At 38.7% G+C, this 19,244-nt stretch overlaps 2 long non-coding RNA genes and 2 pseudogenes across 2 annotated transcripts in view; 2 read left to right on the top strand and 2 right to left on the bottom strand.

Moving 5' to 3' along the window:
* Positions 1 to 17,287, top strand: part of LINC02627 (long intergenic non-protein coding RNA 2627) — a 146,724-nt gene extending 129,437 nt beyond the window's left edge. The window contains exon 4 of the long non-coding RNA NR_120625.1: positions 17,209 to 17,287. This is a non-coding gene — a long non-coding RNA (long intergenic non-protein coding RNA 2627). The remainder of the gene's footprint in view (positions 1 to 17,208) is intronic.
* Positions 1,173 to 4,589, bottom strand: YWHAZP5 (tyrosine 3-monooxygenase/tryptophan 5-monooxygenase activation protein zeta pseudogene 5; annotated as a pseudogene).
* PPIAP38 (peptidylprolyl isomerase A pseudogene 38) lies at positions 5,032 to 5,514 on the top strand (annotated as a pseudogene).
* The window catches only part of LOC107984266 (uncharacterized), a 40,565-nt gene continuing 27,062 nt past the window's right edge, over positions 5,742 to 19,244 (bottom strand). The window contains exon 3 of the long non-coding RNA XR_001747580.2: positions 5,742 to 13,704. This is a non-coding gene — a long non-coding RNA (uncharacterized LOC107984266). The remainder of the gene's footprint in view (positions 13,705 to 19,244) is intronic.

The raw sequence follows: 19,244 nt of genomic DNA, 5'->3' as shown, positions 1-19,244 counted from the left end.
CTAAAGAAATAAGGAGACAAAAGAGACTTATCCAGAAAAGTGATCGGCAAGGTACTTGAAGAAAGCTCTAAAGCTGATTGTTAGTGGGACAGATATAGTTAGTTGTAACAATCAATTGTTTTCTGATCCACATGCAATGACCTGTTGATCCCAGTTCACCAAAGATGGAAAAAAAAAACAAAACAGTAAATCTAACTCATAGGAAAGTCATTAATAATGACAGCAATGATAGAAAATTGTCCCTTTCTTCTCCTGTCAAGTAGGATAGGGTGCTATAGCCATCAAGGCCCCAGGGTTCAGCATGACTAGGATTTGAAGACAGGGCATAACTACTGTGCTAGAGGCTTGAGGTGCAGGAAAGAATAAGGTCAGGAGGTGTCACAATGAAAACCGATAAACAGCTCTAATTGGACCGTTTTAACGGCTCCCAAGAAGATTGTGTAAGGGCCCAGCAATCTCCCATTGCAAGAGAGAATTTTAAAGTCCTGGTAATTCCAGTGGTGGTAGCTCAGAGCCAAACAGATTCCTATCACCCTCAGTTTTATTATTCATACTAAAAATAAAAACACTTCAAGCTACATCTATCTAAAATTAAATAAACAAAAAGTGATAAACTGGCTTGTTGCAGGTTCATGGGTTGCCTCTGCCAGCGAAGACATATTGTCAATTTACTCTGTAAACTTTCCACAGGCGAAGTGGCTATTTCAAAATATTTTCAGTGGGTTCTTCATAACAGAATAGCAGAAATGTGAGATTTGCAGTGACCTTTTCATATGCCTTTAAGAGATTTTTTTGAATTGATCAAGTAAACAAATGGAAAACTTGCTGTTTAATTCAATGTCACTGCTTTCACTGAGTATGATATCCACCCCCTTCTTGCTCCCTGCCCCCAGTGTAACAACAGATTTCGTTACACCCGTTTTAATAAATGGCCAGCATTTCACAATATATGTTTATATTATCTTAAACCTGTAATCCCTTAAATATTTGGAGCATAATAACTTCATGCAAGAGATAAAATAATTTTAGAGCTAATGTAGACTTTAGGAAACATACAGTTAATGCAACCATTTATAGATTTAAAAAATAGGCTAAGAGATATTATTCAACTTTCCTAAAGTGATTCAGCAGAGCCAGAAGTACATTTTAATCTTTTAATTCCAAGTCTCCTATTTTTTTTCTCCATTGCACTTTTATTTGAATGTAATATTTGGGACAATTATCCAAAAGGGCCAATAGTCCCCAGTTTAATCTGCAGTCATAATAAAACAAGCAACAAAACAGTGTTTGGGATTTCAATTTCTCACCCTTATCATCAAGACTCACTACCTCCCATCATCAATATTTATTGAGCATTTACGGTGTACTAGGCACAATAGAACATACAGAAAACATTGTCCCTGCTCTTGAGGAGCTTACATCCTAAAAGAAAAAACACACCTTTTAAAATGGCATTTTTGTCTGGTGTTTTCTGCAGAGTACTGAGGAAATATTTTGTAAAGTGAGCTTTGGGTGTAACTTAGCCCCATCATTATTTAGAGAATAGAGGGAGAGAAAGAGGAAGGATTTTAAAGGCAGACAATGACAGACAATTCAGGATAGGTAGGGTTTTAAAAGGAGATAAACACACTAAGGAGAGATTTGCTGCAGTAAATAGGATGAGGGAAGTAGTTTGTGGGATGCGAGCAAAGGAAGCAGGATGTCTTAGATATTGAGTAGAGCCAGAAAGATCATGCAGCCTTTTTCCAAGTACGTGGCCACCAAGTAGGAATGGCTGGTGACAAGACAGAACGCTAAAAAAGGAAGGTAATCTTGTGCCCTTGACACATAGAAAGAACAAGGGACCAAAATTGAAGGCAAGCTATAAGAGTATCAAGAAACTCTTAGAAACCAAAAAGTGATTTGGAAGCACAAAACATAGTTAATGCTACCCAACGTCATGATAGGCCAAGAACACTGTGGATTCCTAAGTTAGAAAATGCCATATACCAAAATTTTAAATGGAACATATTCCTTTTTTTTTTTTTCCCAATCAATCTCCCCCTCTCCCAGAAAAAATAGGAGCTCATTTTTTTCAGAGTGGGGAGGAAGAGAGGGGATCATGGGACATGGTTGGAAACAGTAGTGATATTAGTAGTATTTTTGTTGTTATGATAAACTTTGAGAGGGGATCTTGGGACATGGTTGCAAACAGCAGTGATATTAGTAGCATTTTTGTTGTTATGATAAACTTTGTGTTTAAACTTGGAAAAGACCATTAGCTGCCAAGAGGGAATAAGGAATAAATTTCAAAAAATCTACAATTTCCTTTAGAGAAGTTTCAGAACCAAAAGACTAAGTTACATGAAAAGCTGTGGAAAAAGTAGTTGAAAAGTCCATTCATAAAACTTTTATTCCAGTTGCATGAATTTAATACATGTGTTCTTAACAATTATGCTTGGATTGTTCATGAAAATTTCATAAGACATTAAACCAAGCTGGCCATCATTTCAAGTTATTTGCCTGTTAACTGTCTTTACAGCACATGCATGTTAGGCAAGTATCAAAAAACAAAAATCACAAAAGAAAAAACCTTAAAAAAAACTAAATACATGGGTTTTTATTTTACTGCTGTGTTTGATATACATGAAGTAATGAATATCAAGCAATTCATTTTTCCTGCATCTTTACTTTTTCATTTGTTCTTAGGTTGCCTAAAACATTTAAATACAAATAAAATAAATGTAGCAAAAATAATGAAAGCTAACAGCAGGTAACTTTACAAATAATGAAATGTGAACCATTTCTGCCCTTATCCAGAGTAAAATGGGTCACAACTTTGTCTAAAGGAACCCTTCTGCAGCTGTAGTCAAAGGTGTGCACAGTGAGATTAAGTATTCCACAGATATACATGGTTTAACATGCGGTATCCATGGGATATCTGTTTCTACCACAGCCTTGTAAGTGCTCCAAACCTTAACGTACCCACAATTACTACACCTGTGACTGGAACCAATGATCCCTTTTATTCCCCACCAGGACAAACCAATATGTAGACAGTTTTCTTTGCTTAGATATGGACGCAGTTTTAACACTCGCCCTTGTGAAGCCACAATGTACCGAAAGTACTATAGCAAACATTTACAACTTGTATAAAAATTCCACATCCCCATATTGGCCACCTCAAGATGAAAACAGATAACTCCCTAAATGTTAACTGGCTCTACTCCCCTAATATATATATATATATTTATATACACACATATATACATATATATGTGTATATATGTATATATGTGTGTATATATATATGTGTATATATGTGTGTATATATGTGTGTGTGCATATATATACACACACATATATATACATATATATATATATTTTGTGGGTGTGTGTTGTGTGAGACGAAGTCTCACTCTTGTCCCCCAGGCTGAGTGCAATGGCGTGATCTTGGCTCACTGCAACCTCTGCCTCCCAGGTTCAAGCGATTCTCCTGCCTCAGCCTCCTGAGTAGCTGGGATTATAGGCACCTGCCACCGTGTCCAGCTAATTTTTGTATTTTTATTAGAGAAGGGGTTTCACCATGTTGGCCAGGCTAGTCTCAAACTCCTGACCTCAGGTGATCTTCCCGCCTTGGCCTCCCAAAGTGCTTGGATTACAAGCATGAGTCACTGTGCCTGGCCACTACTCCCCTAATATTAAACATAAAAACCACATGGGAAATATAGAAATTCAAATAAAAGTAACACACATCTGCCATAAATTGTAAACAAAAAACCATTTGTGGGACACCATGGATGACAAATGGTCTACTGTGTAAATTTTAGAAAGAGGCAGACAAAAGTTGGAAGGCCGGTTAATTTTCCCCTCTTTCTCCTGCTTCAGCTTTGTCTCCTTGGGTATCCAGTGTCCACAATGTCAAGTTGTCTCTCGGTAATTGCATTATTAGCGTGCTGTCTTTGTATGACTCTTCATTTAATGTATCAAGTTCAGCAATGCCTTCATCAAAAGCCATCTTTGCAAGAGAGCAGACTTTATCTGGGGAGTTCAGAATCTCATAATAGAACAAGAGAAGTTAAGGGCCAGACCCAGTCTGACAGTATGTGTTGGTTGCATTTCCTTTTTGCTGATTTCAAAAGCTTCTTGGTATGCTTGTTGTGACTGACCCACAATCCCTTTCTTGCCATCACCAGCGGCAACCTCAGCCAAGTAACGGTAGTAATCTCCTTTCATTTTCAAATAGAAGACTTTGCTCTCTGCTTGTGAAGCATTGGAGATCAAGAACTTTTCCAAAAGAGATAGTACATCATTGGAGATATCTCTTAGCTCCATCTCAATTTTCTCTCTGTATTCTCGAGCCATCTGCTGTTTTTTCTCAACACCTTCCGTCTTTTGTTCAATACTTGAGATGACCCTCCAAGATGACCTACGGGCTCCTACAACATTTTTATAAGCAACTGAGAGAAGATTCCTCTCCTCATTGGATAATTCAGCTCCTTGCTCAGTTACAGACTTCATGCAGGCTGCCATGTTATCATATTGCTCAGCCTGCTCAGCCAGTTTGGCCTTCTGAACCAGCTCATTTTTTTCCATGACTGGATGTTCTGTGTCCAGAGTGGGTGGTGGTAGCAGATGGATAGGGGTTCAGCAGTCTCTGGACGGTGGTGGCAGCAGCGGTGAGGCTGAGACTGTGTCCCCAAGTCTTCTTTTATGGTTAATGTAAGTTTTATCTAAATAAAAAAAAAAGCAGGAATAATAACAGTAATGATTCCAAGCTTCTGATCACTCCATTTTATTTTAAATGCTTTCAGAAATTTAATTTCTTAAAGCAAATGTTTTAATCATAGGCTAAATTTCTGGTTCTTGGGTAAAATTCATTCAGATATGACTGGGGCTCTGTCAAGGTATTGAATGGTTTGAGCGGAGATTGCTTGAATTTTTTAAGACCAGCAAACAGAAAGAAAAGTAGTCAAACAATTTGGATTATTAAAAAAAAAGTTAGGCTTTGCAGATGCCAACACTGCCTGGAGCCCCCTGCCACCAGCCACAATCAACCTCACTGTGTTCTTCAACAACGCTATTGCTGGTGAGCCCTTGGGCCAAGTTTCCTTCAAGCTGTTTGCAGACAAATTTCCCAAAACAGCAGAAAATTTTCATGCTCTGAGCACTGGAGAGAAAGGATTTAGTTATAAGGGTGTCTGCTTTCCCATAATTATTCCAGGATTTATGTGTCAGTGTGGTGACTTCACATGTCAAAATGGCAGTGGTGGCAAGTCCATCTATGGGGAGAAATTTGATGATGAGAATCCTGAAACATACAGGTCCTGGCATCTTGTCCATGACAAATGTTGGACCCAACACAAACAGTTTCCAGTGTTTCATCTGCACAGCCACGACTGAGTGGTTGGATGGCAAGCATATAGTCTTTGGCAAAGTGAAGGAAGGCATGAATATCATGGAAGCCAGGGAGCACTTTGGGTCCAGGAATGGTAAGACTAGCAAGTAGATCACCATTGCTGACTGTGAACAACTCTAATAAATTGGACTTGTGTTTTATCTTCATCACCAGACCATTCTTTCTGTAGGTCAGAAGAGAACTTCTTCACCCTATTTGCTCACAGTGTCCTATAATCTTTGTGGTCTTACTGCAATCCCTTTGGGTTCCATATTTTTCTTATTCCCTTCCGTGCCTAGTGGAATAGCAGAGTTAAGTTCATGATTATAAAATAAAAACTAAATAAACATACTCGTAGTTCATTTCAGAAAGGTTTTACTTAAAAGGAAGAGTAACAATATATTTCCTTATACCATCCATTAATAGATACCTAGAAGAAGGAAAAAATCACTGGGGTCATATAATGTTTACAGATTATAGACTGTGGTAGTGAGGGTCACTCCACCAGATCACTAAATAGAACCTAAGATGGAAACAAATTAGACAAAATATCACATATGATGCGTACATATGCTTTGCCTTCTCTACATTGGCTTGGTGATTAAGTGGGGCTAGATGAGCAGCTGGTCTATTTAGATTGAAAATAGCTGCCCTACGCCCAGGGGAAGAAAAATGAAGTTCCATGTAAGGGAAGGCAGCAAAAGAACAGAAGGAAATGTTATGCCACATCTGTGTAGGTCATAACCAATGAGTCCAGTGTCATAAGAACAGTGTGATGGGGCAGAAGGATGGAGAAGCCAGAGGACAAATGGCTTCCTTTTCTGTGCAGTGGTGGCGAAGAATAGAAACCTCTTTCCTTCTCAAGATTTTTTTTCTTTCTTCTCTTTTCTTTTTTTCTCCCAATTCATTTAATCCCAAACCAAGGAAAGGATATTGCCATTAGTTGTGTAGATATAAGTCTGGAATAACTGTAACTCAAAAACAGGATGAAGCATAGCTATTATATATACTTCATTTATTCATATATGTGTTAATATAATGTAGATCTGTAAGTAAAAGCTATCATTATTTATAGGGATAGAGATATGATGACTGTTTTTAATCTGTTGAAGTTATAAGTTTAATCAGAAAATCATTCTAACAAACATGGGTTTATAATGTGAGAAACTGGTTCCAGAAAAATGACCTTAATGAATCCCAAAGTGTAATAAAAGTCATTTGCAATTTATATAAACAACAAAATAAGGGTGAGTAAGCAGCAAATCAAAAATGTTGAAGGCTTTCTAAAAGATAGAACATTGATGAATTGAATGAAAGAAAGAGGCCACAGACCAAAACACATTGAAAAAAGATAATTAAAAGGGAGGATAATTTCAGAGGTTGTTTAGTCTCAGATATGATGAAATTAGAGAAAATAAAAGGGCTCTGGGAAAATAATCAGGATGCTTAACTAAAACTTTTTTAGAGCACAAGCCTGGTGGAACCTCCGCTTATTCATGTATTTGCTGATGAAGGATTTTATCATTTGGAAGGAGAATCAGGGCAATGTATTAGGAGAAACAGATTCTTTACCCCAAATGCAAAGCATTGAGCACAACCTCTTCAGTAGCATATCCAGCCAAACTCTCAAAGATTTCAGAAACAGTCTTCTGTAGTCAGACATGGCATCTACATAAAGTAGAGCAGGGATCCTGAATGGCAAATATAACCAAACATTTGAAGAGGACCTACAACTCAAAAGAATGGCAACTTACTCCACAAATGAAAGGAATAATACACAAGGAGGCAAGACACATTTTACTTATTTTAAGATCTTCCTATAATTTGTTTTGAATATTAAATATTCTAGAGGATATTACATTCCATCCATTTAAAAAGTACCCAGAAATCACAAAAATAAAAATATAATTATAAAAATGAAAACCTAAGACTTCTAGTTTCAGCTTCAACAAGTAAAGATTGGAAGTCATCACTCCTGTTCATACCACAAGAAAAGACTAAACAAACTAAAACTCAACATTTTTTCTTGGATGCATTAGAGAACTGAGATTGGCCCAAATCTGGAAAAATAGGCAAATCCAGCGAGTCACAGCCAAGATCTGCTTACCTGAAGAAAAAGCCACTGTAGCCATAACTTGGTGGGGACATTTAACTTGTAATGTTAATTAACTGCTGGAGCTGAATATAGACTAGCTTGAAAGTGAGAAATCCTGGGGTGGAGGGATGCTATGCTGCTAGGAGGGCCCTACATTTTTGTGGGTTTTATCTTCAGGAACTATACCAGATCCTTACTGTGAAAAACTTAAGAAAGATTCTCCCCTGGCTTTATCAAGGGAGGGGAGGAGTAACCATTGTGACAAGCACACCGAGTATTCTCCAGAGCAAAGGCCTTATTCTTCGGGGGAAATGACATTACTAGTCTTATCTTATCTGGGGGAAGGGCATCTCTCCCACCCTGGCCCCCTCTGACCTTTCTGTCTCATCTAAGGGGGAAGAAAAAGACTAAGAGATCTAAGCATAGGTCACACAGCCTTGGGACACAGGCGCACTGATAAAACAGATTTAATTATATGATTATAGAATATCCCTTCTTCCTCACACTTTACCAGCATACCAACAGGGCTCCACTACAATAGTAGCTGAAAGAGCTGCAAGATGCAAATTGTGTCTGAGAATGAGTTTTTAGGAAATCCCAAAATAACACAGGAGACAAAAATAAGGATACAAGAGAAATGTAAAGCCCTTGGCACCCACAGCTACAGTAAACATAAAACACAGCAGAGCTCTTAGCCAAATTAACATAAGACCACACACTAAAGGCCTAGAAAAAATATCTAAATTTTTATTACATGACATATCATGTCCAGCTTTAACCAGAAAATTACAAGTCACGCCAAAAGACAAGAAAAACCACAAACTAAGCATCAGAACCATGATCAGATATGACATAGAACAGGAAATGTAAAGTAATTATGAATAATATGTTAAGGGATCTAATGGAAAAAATAGGTAAAAGCAAGAAAATATGGGGAAGCTATGCAAAGACATTGAAATTGTAAGAGAGTATCAATAGAAAATGCTGGAAAACAAAAACACTACAACAAAAATGGAGAATGTCTATGATATACTTATCAGTAGGTTGAACACCAAGAAAATAGTGAGCATGAAGATAGGTCAATAGAAATTTCCCAAAATAAAATACAAAGAGAAAAATAATAATAATAAAACATTATCTCAGAAATGTAGGATACTTTGTCTAACGTGACATGTGGAATTAGAATAGCAGTGGAGAAGAGAGAACAGAGCAGAAGAAATATTTCAAGTAATAGTAGAGGAGAATTTCTCAAAATTAATGACATATACCAAACCACGGATCCAGAAAGCTTACAGAACACCAGCCAGGAAAAGTTCCAAAAAAACTACAACCAGTTATATCATATTCAAACTGAAGAAAACCAAAGACAAAGAGAAAAATCTTGAAAGAAGCCAGAGAAAATTAAATACTTTACATAGAAAGGAAAAAAGATGAGAATTACAGTAGACTTCTTGTCACAAACCATGCAAGCAAGGAGAGAGTTGACTAAAATATTGGAAGAGTTCAAAGAAAAACCACCAACCTAGGATTCTATATCCTGTTAGATTGCCCTACAAATTACAGATAATTAAAGACTTTCTTAGGAAAACAACAACTGAGGGAATTCATCACCAGCAGTTCTGCCCTAGAAGAAAGGTAAAAACGGATAATGAAATGAAAATTGTATAGGCTGGAAACTTTGATTTACATAAAGAAGGAAGGAGCATCAGGAAAGAAAGAAATGAAGGCATAATTTTTTAAAATTGATAAGTAAATTAAAATATGTCTTTGTTTAAAGTAATAATGGTAACAGTGTGATGGGTGATTTTAGCATACGGATAAGTAAAATAAATGACAGCAATTTCACAAGGTATGAGAGGGAGCTACTGGGGATATTCTGTTATACAGTATGTGAACAACATGTAAAGTGGTATAGAGTTATTTGAAAGTAGACTAAGATTAGTTTAATATTATTTAATACATTGGAAAACACTAAAAACTTTTTTTTTAATGAGAATAATTGATATGCTAATGTTACAGGAAAGGGGATCCGGATCCAGACCCCAAGAGAGGGTTCTTGGATCTCATGCAAGAAAGAATTCAGGGCGAGTCCGCAGTGCAAAGTGAAAGCAAATTTATTAAGAAAGTAAAGGGATAAAAGAATGGCTACTCTGTAAACAGAGCAGCCCGAGGGCTGCTGATAGCCAAATAGCCTGTCTGCAAGCACACTAATTCTTTCTTCCGCTTTTAAAAGACTCTGATGCATTGTTCAGTATACCAGCTGCAATTTTCAGCTCCTGAATTTCTGCTCATTTCTTTGTAATTATTTCAATCTCTTTGTTGAATTTATCTGACAGAGTTCTGAATTCTTTCTCTGTGTTATCTTGAATATTTTTGAGTTTCTTCAAAATAGCTATTTTGAATTCTGTCTAAAAGATCACATACCTCTGTTTCTCCAGGACTGATTCCTGGTGCCTTATTTAGTTCATTTAGTGAGGTCATGTTTTCCTGGGTCATCTTGATACTTGTGGATGTTCGTCTGTGTCTGGGCATTGCAGGGTTAGGTATTTACTGTAGTCTTTGCAGTCAGGGCTTGTTTGTACCCTTCCTTCTTGGGAAGGCTTTCCAGATATTTGAAAGAACTTGGGTGGTGCTGTCTAAGCTATATCTGCTTTAGGGGGAATCCCAAACCTGGTAACACTGCAGTTCTTGCAGACTTGTAGAGGTACCACCTTGAAGTTCTTGGCAAAAATTGGGAATAATTCTCTGGATTACTAGGCAGAGGCTCTTGTTCTCTTCCGTTACATTCTTCAAAACAAATGAAGTCTCGCTCTGTTCTGAGCCACCTGAACCAGGGGTGGAGTGACACAAGCACCCCTGTGGCTACCAGTCCTAGAACTATGCTGGGTCTGACCTAAAGCCAGCCCAGCATTGAGTCTCAACAAAGCCCTGCTCTAACCACTTGCTGGTTACTACCTATGTTTTCTCAAAGCCCTGGGGCCTCATGATCAGCAAGTAGCTAAGTCAGCCAGGCCTGTGTCCTTTCCTTCAGGGTGGCAAGTTCCTCCAGGCCCCTGGTGAATCTAGAGGTGCTGTTCAGGAGCCAGGGATTAGAGTAAAAAACCTTACATATCTACCTGGTGTTCTATTGTACTAAGGCTGAGGTGGCACTCAAACCATAAGATGCAGTCTTTCCCACTCTTTCCTACCCTTTCTAAAGGCAGAGGAGCCTCACTGTATGGCCACCACCACCTCAAATCAATGGGAAGTACTGCCAGACTACCATCAATGTTTTCTTAAAGCTCAAGGCCTCTTAAGTCAGTTTGTGGTGAATGCTGTCTGGCCTGGGACTCACACTTTAAGGCAATGGGCTCCCTTCTGGTCCAGGGCACATCCAGAAATTCTGTCCAAGAGCCAAGTTCTAGAATCAGGGATCCCAAGAGCTCACTGGTACTCTGCCCCCGGTGGCTGAGCTGGTACCTAAAGTGCAAGACAAAGACCCTTTTATTTTTCCTTCTACTTTTCTCAGGCATAAGGAGTCTTTCATTGTAGCCACCACAGCTGGGAATGTGCTAAGTCTCACCAGACACCAGCAAATCTCAATGTCTCACCTAAGTTCCTTAATATACCTGGACATCACTGCTGTTTATTTAAGGCCCAAGGCCTCTTTAGTTAACAGGTGTTGAATTCTGCCAGGACTGAGTCCTTCCCTACAGGGAAATGGGTTTCCTTCTGGCCCAGTGTGTCTAGTAATGTTGTTTGGAAGCAAGGGCCTGGAAAGAGGGGCCTCACGACTCTGACCGGGGACCTTGCCTGCTATGGCTGAGCTGGTATCCAAAATGCAAGAAAACATTTTCTCTACTCTTTCATCTCCTCTCCTCAAGCAGAAAGAAGGGGTCTCTTTTGGAGCTACAGACTGTGCAACCTGGAATTAGAGAAGGGGTGATTCCAGCACTCCCTTGGCTGTTTCAGCTGGTGTCTTCGTAGGTCATGCCCTCCCTAGTCTATTATCTGTGGGACCAGTTCGGCACTAGGAGTCACCTAGGAGTTACAATTCTTGTGGCCTAGACTGTCTTTCAGGTTTATTTGTTACCCCAGAACTCTGTAGCCTGTGGTGCCAAGGCTTGTGGGAGCTCAAGTTCTGACCACTGGGATCTGTGATTCTGCTCTGACTAGGGCTGGTTTAAAGGCTCCCTCCTTGGGTGTCACCTGAGTTTGGTCTTGTTTTGCTTTCTGCTCTTCTCACTACTGCACAGAAATACTCTCCACACCACACCACCACTGCTGGGGGATGCAGGAGAGGAGATGCTGGTGATTCAAAACTCTTTTCTCTATTTCTTCAGTGCCTCTTTCAGTAATATCAACTTAAAACCAGGTACTATGAGTGCTGTCCTGATTCTTGGTTCTTATGCTGGTGCTTTTTTTGTGTGTAGATAGTTGTTAAATTGGTGTCCTTATAGAGGGACAGTTGGTCGAGCCTTCTATCTGCCATCTTTCTGATTCTTTACAGAATTAGAAAAAACCATTTTAAAATTCAGATGGAACAACAACAACAAAAATAGCCAAGACAGTCCTAAGCAAAAAGAGCAAAGCTGGAGGCATCATGTTACCTGACTTGAAACTGTATCACAAGGCTACAGTAACCCAAACAGCATGGTACTGGTACAAAAACAGATATATAGACAAATGGAACAGGCAAGAGAGCCCATAAATAATGCTGCACACTTACAACCACCTGGTCTTTGACAAACCTGACAAAAACAAGCGATGGGGAAAGGATTCCCTATTAAATAAATGCTGCTGTGTTAACAGACTAGCCATTGGCAGAAGACTAAAATTGGACTCCTTTCTTAGACCATGTACAAAAATCAACTCAAGAGAGATTGCAGACTTAAATGCAAAACCTAAAACTATAAAAACCCTGGAAGATAACCTAGGGAATACCATTCTGGACATAGGCCCTGGCAAAGATTTCATGAAGAAGACACCAAAAGAATTTGCAACAGTACCAAAAGTTGACAAATGGGACCTAATTAAACCAAAGAGGTTCTGCACAGCAAAAGAAACTATCAACAGAGTAAACAGACAGCCTACAGAATGGGAGAAAACATTTGCAAACTGTGCATCCAACAAAGGTCTAATATCCAGAATTTATAAGGAACTTAAACAAATTAACAACCAAAACCTATCAGGGAACCTGCCCTGATAGTCACGTAGGTTCTTTTCTATTTTCCCTAAGCATCGGCCGCTTTGAGAAATAAAGGGACAGAGTACAAAAGAGAGAAATTTTAAAGCTGGGCATCCGGGGGAGACATCACGTGTCAGTAGGTTTTTTCCATGATGCCCCACAAGCCACAAAACCAGCAAGTTTTTATTAGGGACTTTCAGAAGGGGAGGGAGTGTGCGAATAGGTGTGGGTCACAGAGATCACGTACTTCACAAGGTAATAGAATATCACAAGGCAAATGGAAGCAGGGCGAGATCACAGGACCACAGGACTGGGGCGAAATTAGAATTTCTAATGAGGTTTCAGGCACCATTGTCATTGATAACATCTTATCAGGAGACAGGGTTTTGAGAGCAACCGGTCTGACCAAAATTTATTAGGTGGGAATTTCCTCTTCCTAATAAGCCTGGGAGCACTGTGGGAGACTGGGGTTTATTTCATCCCTACAGTCTCGACCATAGAAGACGGCCACACCCAAGGGGGCCATTTCAGAGACCCTCCCCCCAGGCACGTATTCTCTTTCCCAGGGATGTTCCTTGCTGAGAAAAAGAATTCAGCAATATTTCTCCCATTTGCTTTTGAAAGAAGAGAAATATGGCTCTGTTCCGCCCAGCTCACCAGCCGTCAGAGTTTAAGGTTATCTCCCTTATTCCCTAAACAATTGCTATTATCCTGTTCTTTTTTCAAGGTGCCCAGATTTCATATTGTTTAAACACACATGCTCTACAATTTGTGCAGTTAAGACAATTATCACATGAGTCCTGAGGTGACATACATCCTCCTCAGCTAACAGGATTAAGAGATTAAAGTAAAGACAGGCATAGGAAATCACAAGGGTATTGATTGGGGAAGTGATAAGTGTCCATGAAATCTTCACAATTTATGTTTAGAGACTGCAGTAAAGACAGGCATAAGAAATTATAAAAGTATTAATTTGGGGAACTAATAAATGTCCATGAAATCTTCACAATCCACATTCTTCTGCCATGGCTTCAGCCGGTCCCTCCGTTTGGGGTCCTTGACTTCCTGCAACAAAAACCAAACAACCCAATTACAAAGTGGGCAAAGGACATGAACAGACACTTTTCAAAAGAAGATATATATGTGGCCAATAAGCATATGAAAAAATGCTCATCTTCACTAATCATTAGAGCAATGCAAATCAACACCACTATGAGATACCATCACACCAGTCAGAGTGGCTATTTTTAAAAAGTCAAAAAATAACAAATCATGGCAAGGTTGTGGGGAAAAGGAAAGCTTATACGCTGCTGTATAGTGTAAATTAGTTATATGGGAATGTAAATTAGTTCAGTCATTGTTTGGTGATTTCTCAAAGAACTTAAAACTGAATTACTATTTGACCTAGCAATCCCATTATTGGATATATACCCAAAGGAATATAAATTGTTATACCATAAAGACTCATGGAATCATGTTCATTGCAGCACTATTCACAATAGCAAAGACATGGAATCAACCTTAATATCCATCAGAAGTAGAATGGATAAAGAAAATGTGGCACATATACAGAGTGGAAAACTATGCAGTCATAAAAATGAATAAGATTATGTCCTTTGCAGCAACATGAGTGGAGCTGGAGGCCATTATCCTAAGCAAACTAACAGGAACAGAAAACCAAATACCTCGTGTTCTCACTTATAAGTAGGAACTAAATATTGAGTACACATGGAAACAAAAAGGGAACAACAGACAATAGGGCCTACCTGAGGTTGGAGGGTAGGAGGAGGGTGAGGATAGAAAAACTACCTATGCTGATTAAACCGATGATAAAATCATCTGCACATCAAAGCCCTGTGACATGCAATTTACATGCATAACAAACCTGTACCTGTACTCCTGAATCGAAAATAAAAGGAAGAAAGAAAGAAAGAGAAAAAGAAAGAAAGAAAGAGAAAAAAGAAAGAACCGTCTTCCAATTTTACAGCTTACATTATATTCAGTGGTATAAAACTAAATCCTTTTCTCCTAAGATCAGGAATATGGCATGTAAATTCTTTCTTAGCACTTCTGTTCATGATCATAATGGACCTCTACCCTGTGGAATAAGAGAAGAAAAGGAAATATATATAGTTTGTGAAGGAAGAAACAAAACTGTCTTTGTTCACAGATGACATGATTGTTTGTATATAATATCCCAATGAATCAACAACAACAAAAAACTCCCACAACTAATAGGCTAGTATTGAAAAGTTGAAGAATGTAAGGTTAATATTCAAGTCAATTGTCTCCTTTTTATCAGCAATGTATAATTGGATTTTGAAATTTTGGAAAAAGCAACACAATTATAGTTGTAGGGGTCAAGGGGAAACTATCCCTTTGCCCTCTGAAGGTTCACTGAAAATCAACTGGCCAAAGGCAAATTAATGGGAAAAAAAAGACATACAAAATGTATTTACATGCATCTATAAGCACTGGAGCCATACAAAATATAAAAACTCAAAGGAAGAGCCAGATAGTTGATGCTTTTGTACCATCTTGAGGTTACAGAAAGAATGGGAGCTTGGAACATGGCAAGATATGTTAACAGAGGGAGAGAAGAGGAAAGGGATGGCTTGCAAAGGTGGTCTTGTTATGTACCTGCTGCACAGGTAGCAGCTCTCAGAAAGAATAGATTATAGCCTGTGGTTGAGTTAATCTTTCTTAGATGCAGACAATGGGGGAGGGGCTCAGAGAAAGCCTGGCTGTTTATTTCACTAATGCAGATTTTCTCTACAGATGCAAATCTCCTCCACAAAAGGCAACTTTGCAGGGCTATTCCTGTCTGCAGGCTCTCTGAATAGCCATCTCAAAATATGTCGGAGAAATATATTTTGGGGTAGACAATTTTTGGTTTACTCTACAATCAAACTGAAAATAGAGTAAAATATCTAGGTATAATTTTTTGTAAGTTTAGAATCTATATGTGAATAACTGTAAAACTCTAATGAAATAAACAAAAGACCTAAATAAGTGAAGAGACATACTGTTTTTATACATTGGAAGATCCAATAGTGTTAATACATCAGTTCTTCCCAACTCGGTCTATAGATTTTACACAATCCCAACCAAAATGGTAGCTAGCTGTTTTGTAGGTATCAATAAACTGATTGCTATGTTTATCTGGAAAGGTAAAAGACCTGTAATAGTCAACGTAATAGTGAAGAAAAACATAATTAGACTCATACTACCAGATGTCAAGATATATTTTAAGGCAATAGTAACCAAGATGTAAGAGGCATTTGAACCAGAGCAACTCCGTCTTGAATAGCGGCTGAGTAAAATGAGGCTAAAACCTACTGGACTGCATTCCCAAATGGTTAATGCATTCTAACTCACAGGATGAAATAGGAGGTTGGCACAAGATACACGTCATAAAGACCTTGCTGATAAAATAGTTTGCAGTAAAGAAGTCGGCCAAAATCCAAAACCAAGATGGTGATGAGAGTGACCTCTGGTCGTCCTCACTGTTACACTCCTACCAGCACTATGACAGTTTACAAATGCCATGGCAACATCAGGAAGTTACCCTAGATGGTCTAAAAAGGAGAAGCATGAATAATCCACCGCTTGTTTAGCATATCGTAAAAAATAACCACAAAAATGGGAAACCAGCAGCCCTTGGGGCTGCTCTGTCTATGGAGTAGCCGTTCTGTATTTCTTTACTTTCCTAATAAACTTACTATCATTTTACTCTATGGACTTGTCCTGAATTCTTTCTTGCTTGAGATCCAAGAACTCTCCCTTGGGGTCTGGATTGGGACCCCTTTCCAGTAACAAACACAGTGTGGTACTTGTGAGATTAGTTACATAGATCAATGGATCAGAATAGAGAGCCCAGACATTGACCCACACAAACATAGTCAACTGATCTTTGACAAGGAGCAAAGACAATTCAATGAAGAAAATATAGTCTTTTTAACAAATAGTTTTCGGACAACTGGATATCTACGTTATAAAACAAAACAAAACAAAACAACCTACAAGCTTTACCCACATCTCTTACAGAAAACAGCATAAGTTGTATCATGGACCAAAACGTAAAATATAAAATAAGAAAACGTTCAGTAAAACATAGAAGAAAATTTGGGTAACCTCAGGTTTGACAATCATTTTTTAAATTATTAAATTAAATTTAACCTAAAGCTGCCTCCTTACATATTTTAAGTTTGGCCTGAAGTTTTCTCTGCGCACAGTGAATTGTAACCTAACTGGATGGGTAAACACAGTGTAACATACTCTTGTACCAATCACCAAGTTTCTGCCAATCAAAGGCAGCAAACTGCTCAAACCAAGTTCAAATAAGGCAAATGCCAAGCTGTAAGCAATCAGCTATTTCTGCACCTAACTTTTTCTTTCTGTACATGACTTTCTTTTTCTGTCCATAAATCCTCTCCAACCATGTGGCAGTGCTGGGGTCTCTCTGAGTCTATTCTGGCTCAGGGGGCTGTTTGATTCATGAATTAAACTCTGTTAAATTGCTCAATTAAACTCTGTTATTGAATTTGTCCAACGTTTTTCTTTTAACAGATGGTGTCAGAATTGGAACATGAAGTAGAACTTCCAGTAACCCCTAGGAGCATCAAGTGACCCAGAGAGGTAACCCCCTCCACCAGGGTCCATTGCATCCATTGCTCTCTCACAGCAACTGAGGCTCATGGGTAAGTTCCCTCTCAGATTCTGAAGCTTCACAGATTTGTGTTTTGTGCTATCTGAGTTTGTTTTAGCAAATTTTTTATGTGAACTGTGTTCGGAAGTCACAACAGAAACTAGACTGGGTCGAGGATCAAATTAAATCCAATAATTAATTGGATTAGATCGAGCTAGAGGCTTTAGATGTATGACTGACTCAGAAACTGGCAGTAAAATGGATAATCATACAGAGGATGTAAATTTTGGCTTTAGGAAATTCACAAGGATTTTTGTGTTCTATCCCCTTTGTTTCTTCTTGCATGTTTAGGTAGGGAAAAATCATTGGCTAAATTGATCAAGGGGAGCTCAGAGTCAAAGCCAAGATCTTGCATAAAAATGGAAACCTTGGCCAGGGGCAGTGGCTCACGCCTGTAATCCCATCCCAGCACTTTGGGAAGCCGAGGCGGGTGGATCACGAGGTCAGGAGTCCGAGACCAGCCTGGCCAATGTAGCGAAACCCTGTGTCTACTAAAAATACAAAAAATTAGGCCGGGCGTGATGGCTCACTCCCGTAATCCCAGCACGTTGGGAGGCCAAGGTGGGCGGATCATGAGGTCAGGAGATCGAGACCATCCTGGCTAACGCGATGAAACCCTGTCTCTACTAAAAATACAAAAAAATTAGCCGGGCGTGGTGGTGGGCGCCTGTAGTCCCAGCTACTCAGGAGGCTGAGGCAGGAGAATGGTGTGAACCCAGGAGGTGGAGCTTGCAGTGAGTCCAGATCGCGCCACTACACTCTAGCCTAGGTGACAAAGTGAGACTCCGTCTCAAAAAAAAAAAAAAAAAAAAATTAGCTGGGCGTGGTGGTGCATGCCCGTAATCCCAGCTACTCAAGAGGCTGAGGCAGGAGAATCATTAGAACCCGGGAGGCGGAGGTTGCAGTGAGCTGAGATTGTGTCATTGGACTCCAGCTTGGGTGACAGTGTGAGATTCTGTCTCAAAAAAAAAAAAAAAAAAAAGGGCACTTAATTTCTGAAGAAGTGAGTACCCCACCTTCCAGCTATGCCTGTCTTTACATGTACAAGTATTAGGCCCTGAAGCAACAAACTGTAACAGAAATGGCAAAATATTAATAAAGATAATTTAAAATTTCAGTGGAATGTTCCAAATGAACAACATTGAATTTTAAAAAGTGCATTTAAAAATGAGGGCTCCCAAATTAGGCTAACCAAGGAATTCCTATTAATATGCAGAAACTTCTATAAAGATTTCAATATTTTTATTGATTTTTTTAAAAGACATTATTTAAAAAAAATGTTTTTTCTGGGGATTGGGTCTTGCTATGTTACCCAGGATGGTCTTGAACTCCTGGCCTGAAGTGATCCCCCTGACTTGGCCTCCCAAATGGCTGGGATTATAGCATGAGCCATTACACCCAGCCAATTTCTTTGTTATATATATATATGTGTTATATATATATATATAACACACACATATATATATATATATATATATATATATATATATATATATATATACATGGCAAATAAAAAGCTTAAGCAGCCAAGTGATAAGAATAATTAAATGTGCTAACTTTTTGGCTTGGTTACTACCCTCCTTAAAGGTTAAAAGAAAGCTATGCTGGATAAAGTATGTGTAAAAGGTAGGCCCTCAGCTAACGTAGACTTGCTTCTTTTTCAAAGCTATCCATGCTGAATCCTGGCATAGGGAATGCTTTTTCATCCTATTCCTTAATGGGATCTACCCTGAACTTAGTATTTTAGCTAAGAAATAGTAGCTAAGTTAAAAAAGACCACCTATTTAATGAAATCAGTCTTCCAAATACATATTCATGGAATTTAGCTGGCTACTTTGAAAACCATTTGTAAAAAATAAAATTTTTTAATCACCGTTTTAAGAGTGTCTGCCTTTGT

Source organism: Homo sapiens, chromosome 10 (assembly GCF_000001405.40).
Source record: "Homo sapiens chromosome 10, GRCh38.p14 Primary Assembly".
NCBI lineage: Eukaryota > Metazoa > Chordata > Mammalia > Primates > Hominidae > Homo > Homo sapiens.
Note: the sequence above shows the minus strand (reverse complement) of the source record. Positions and strands in the feature narration are given on the sequence as shown.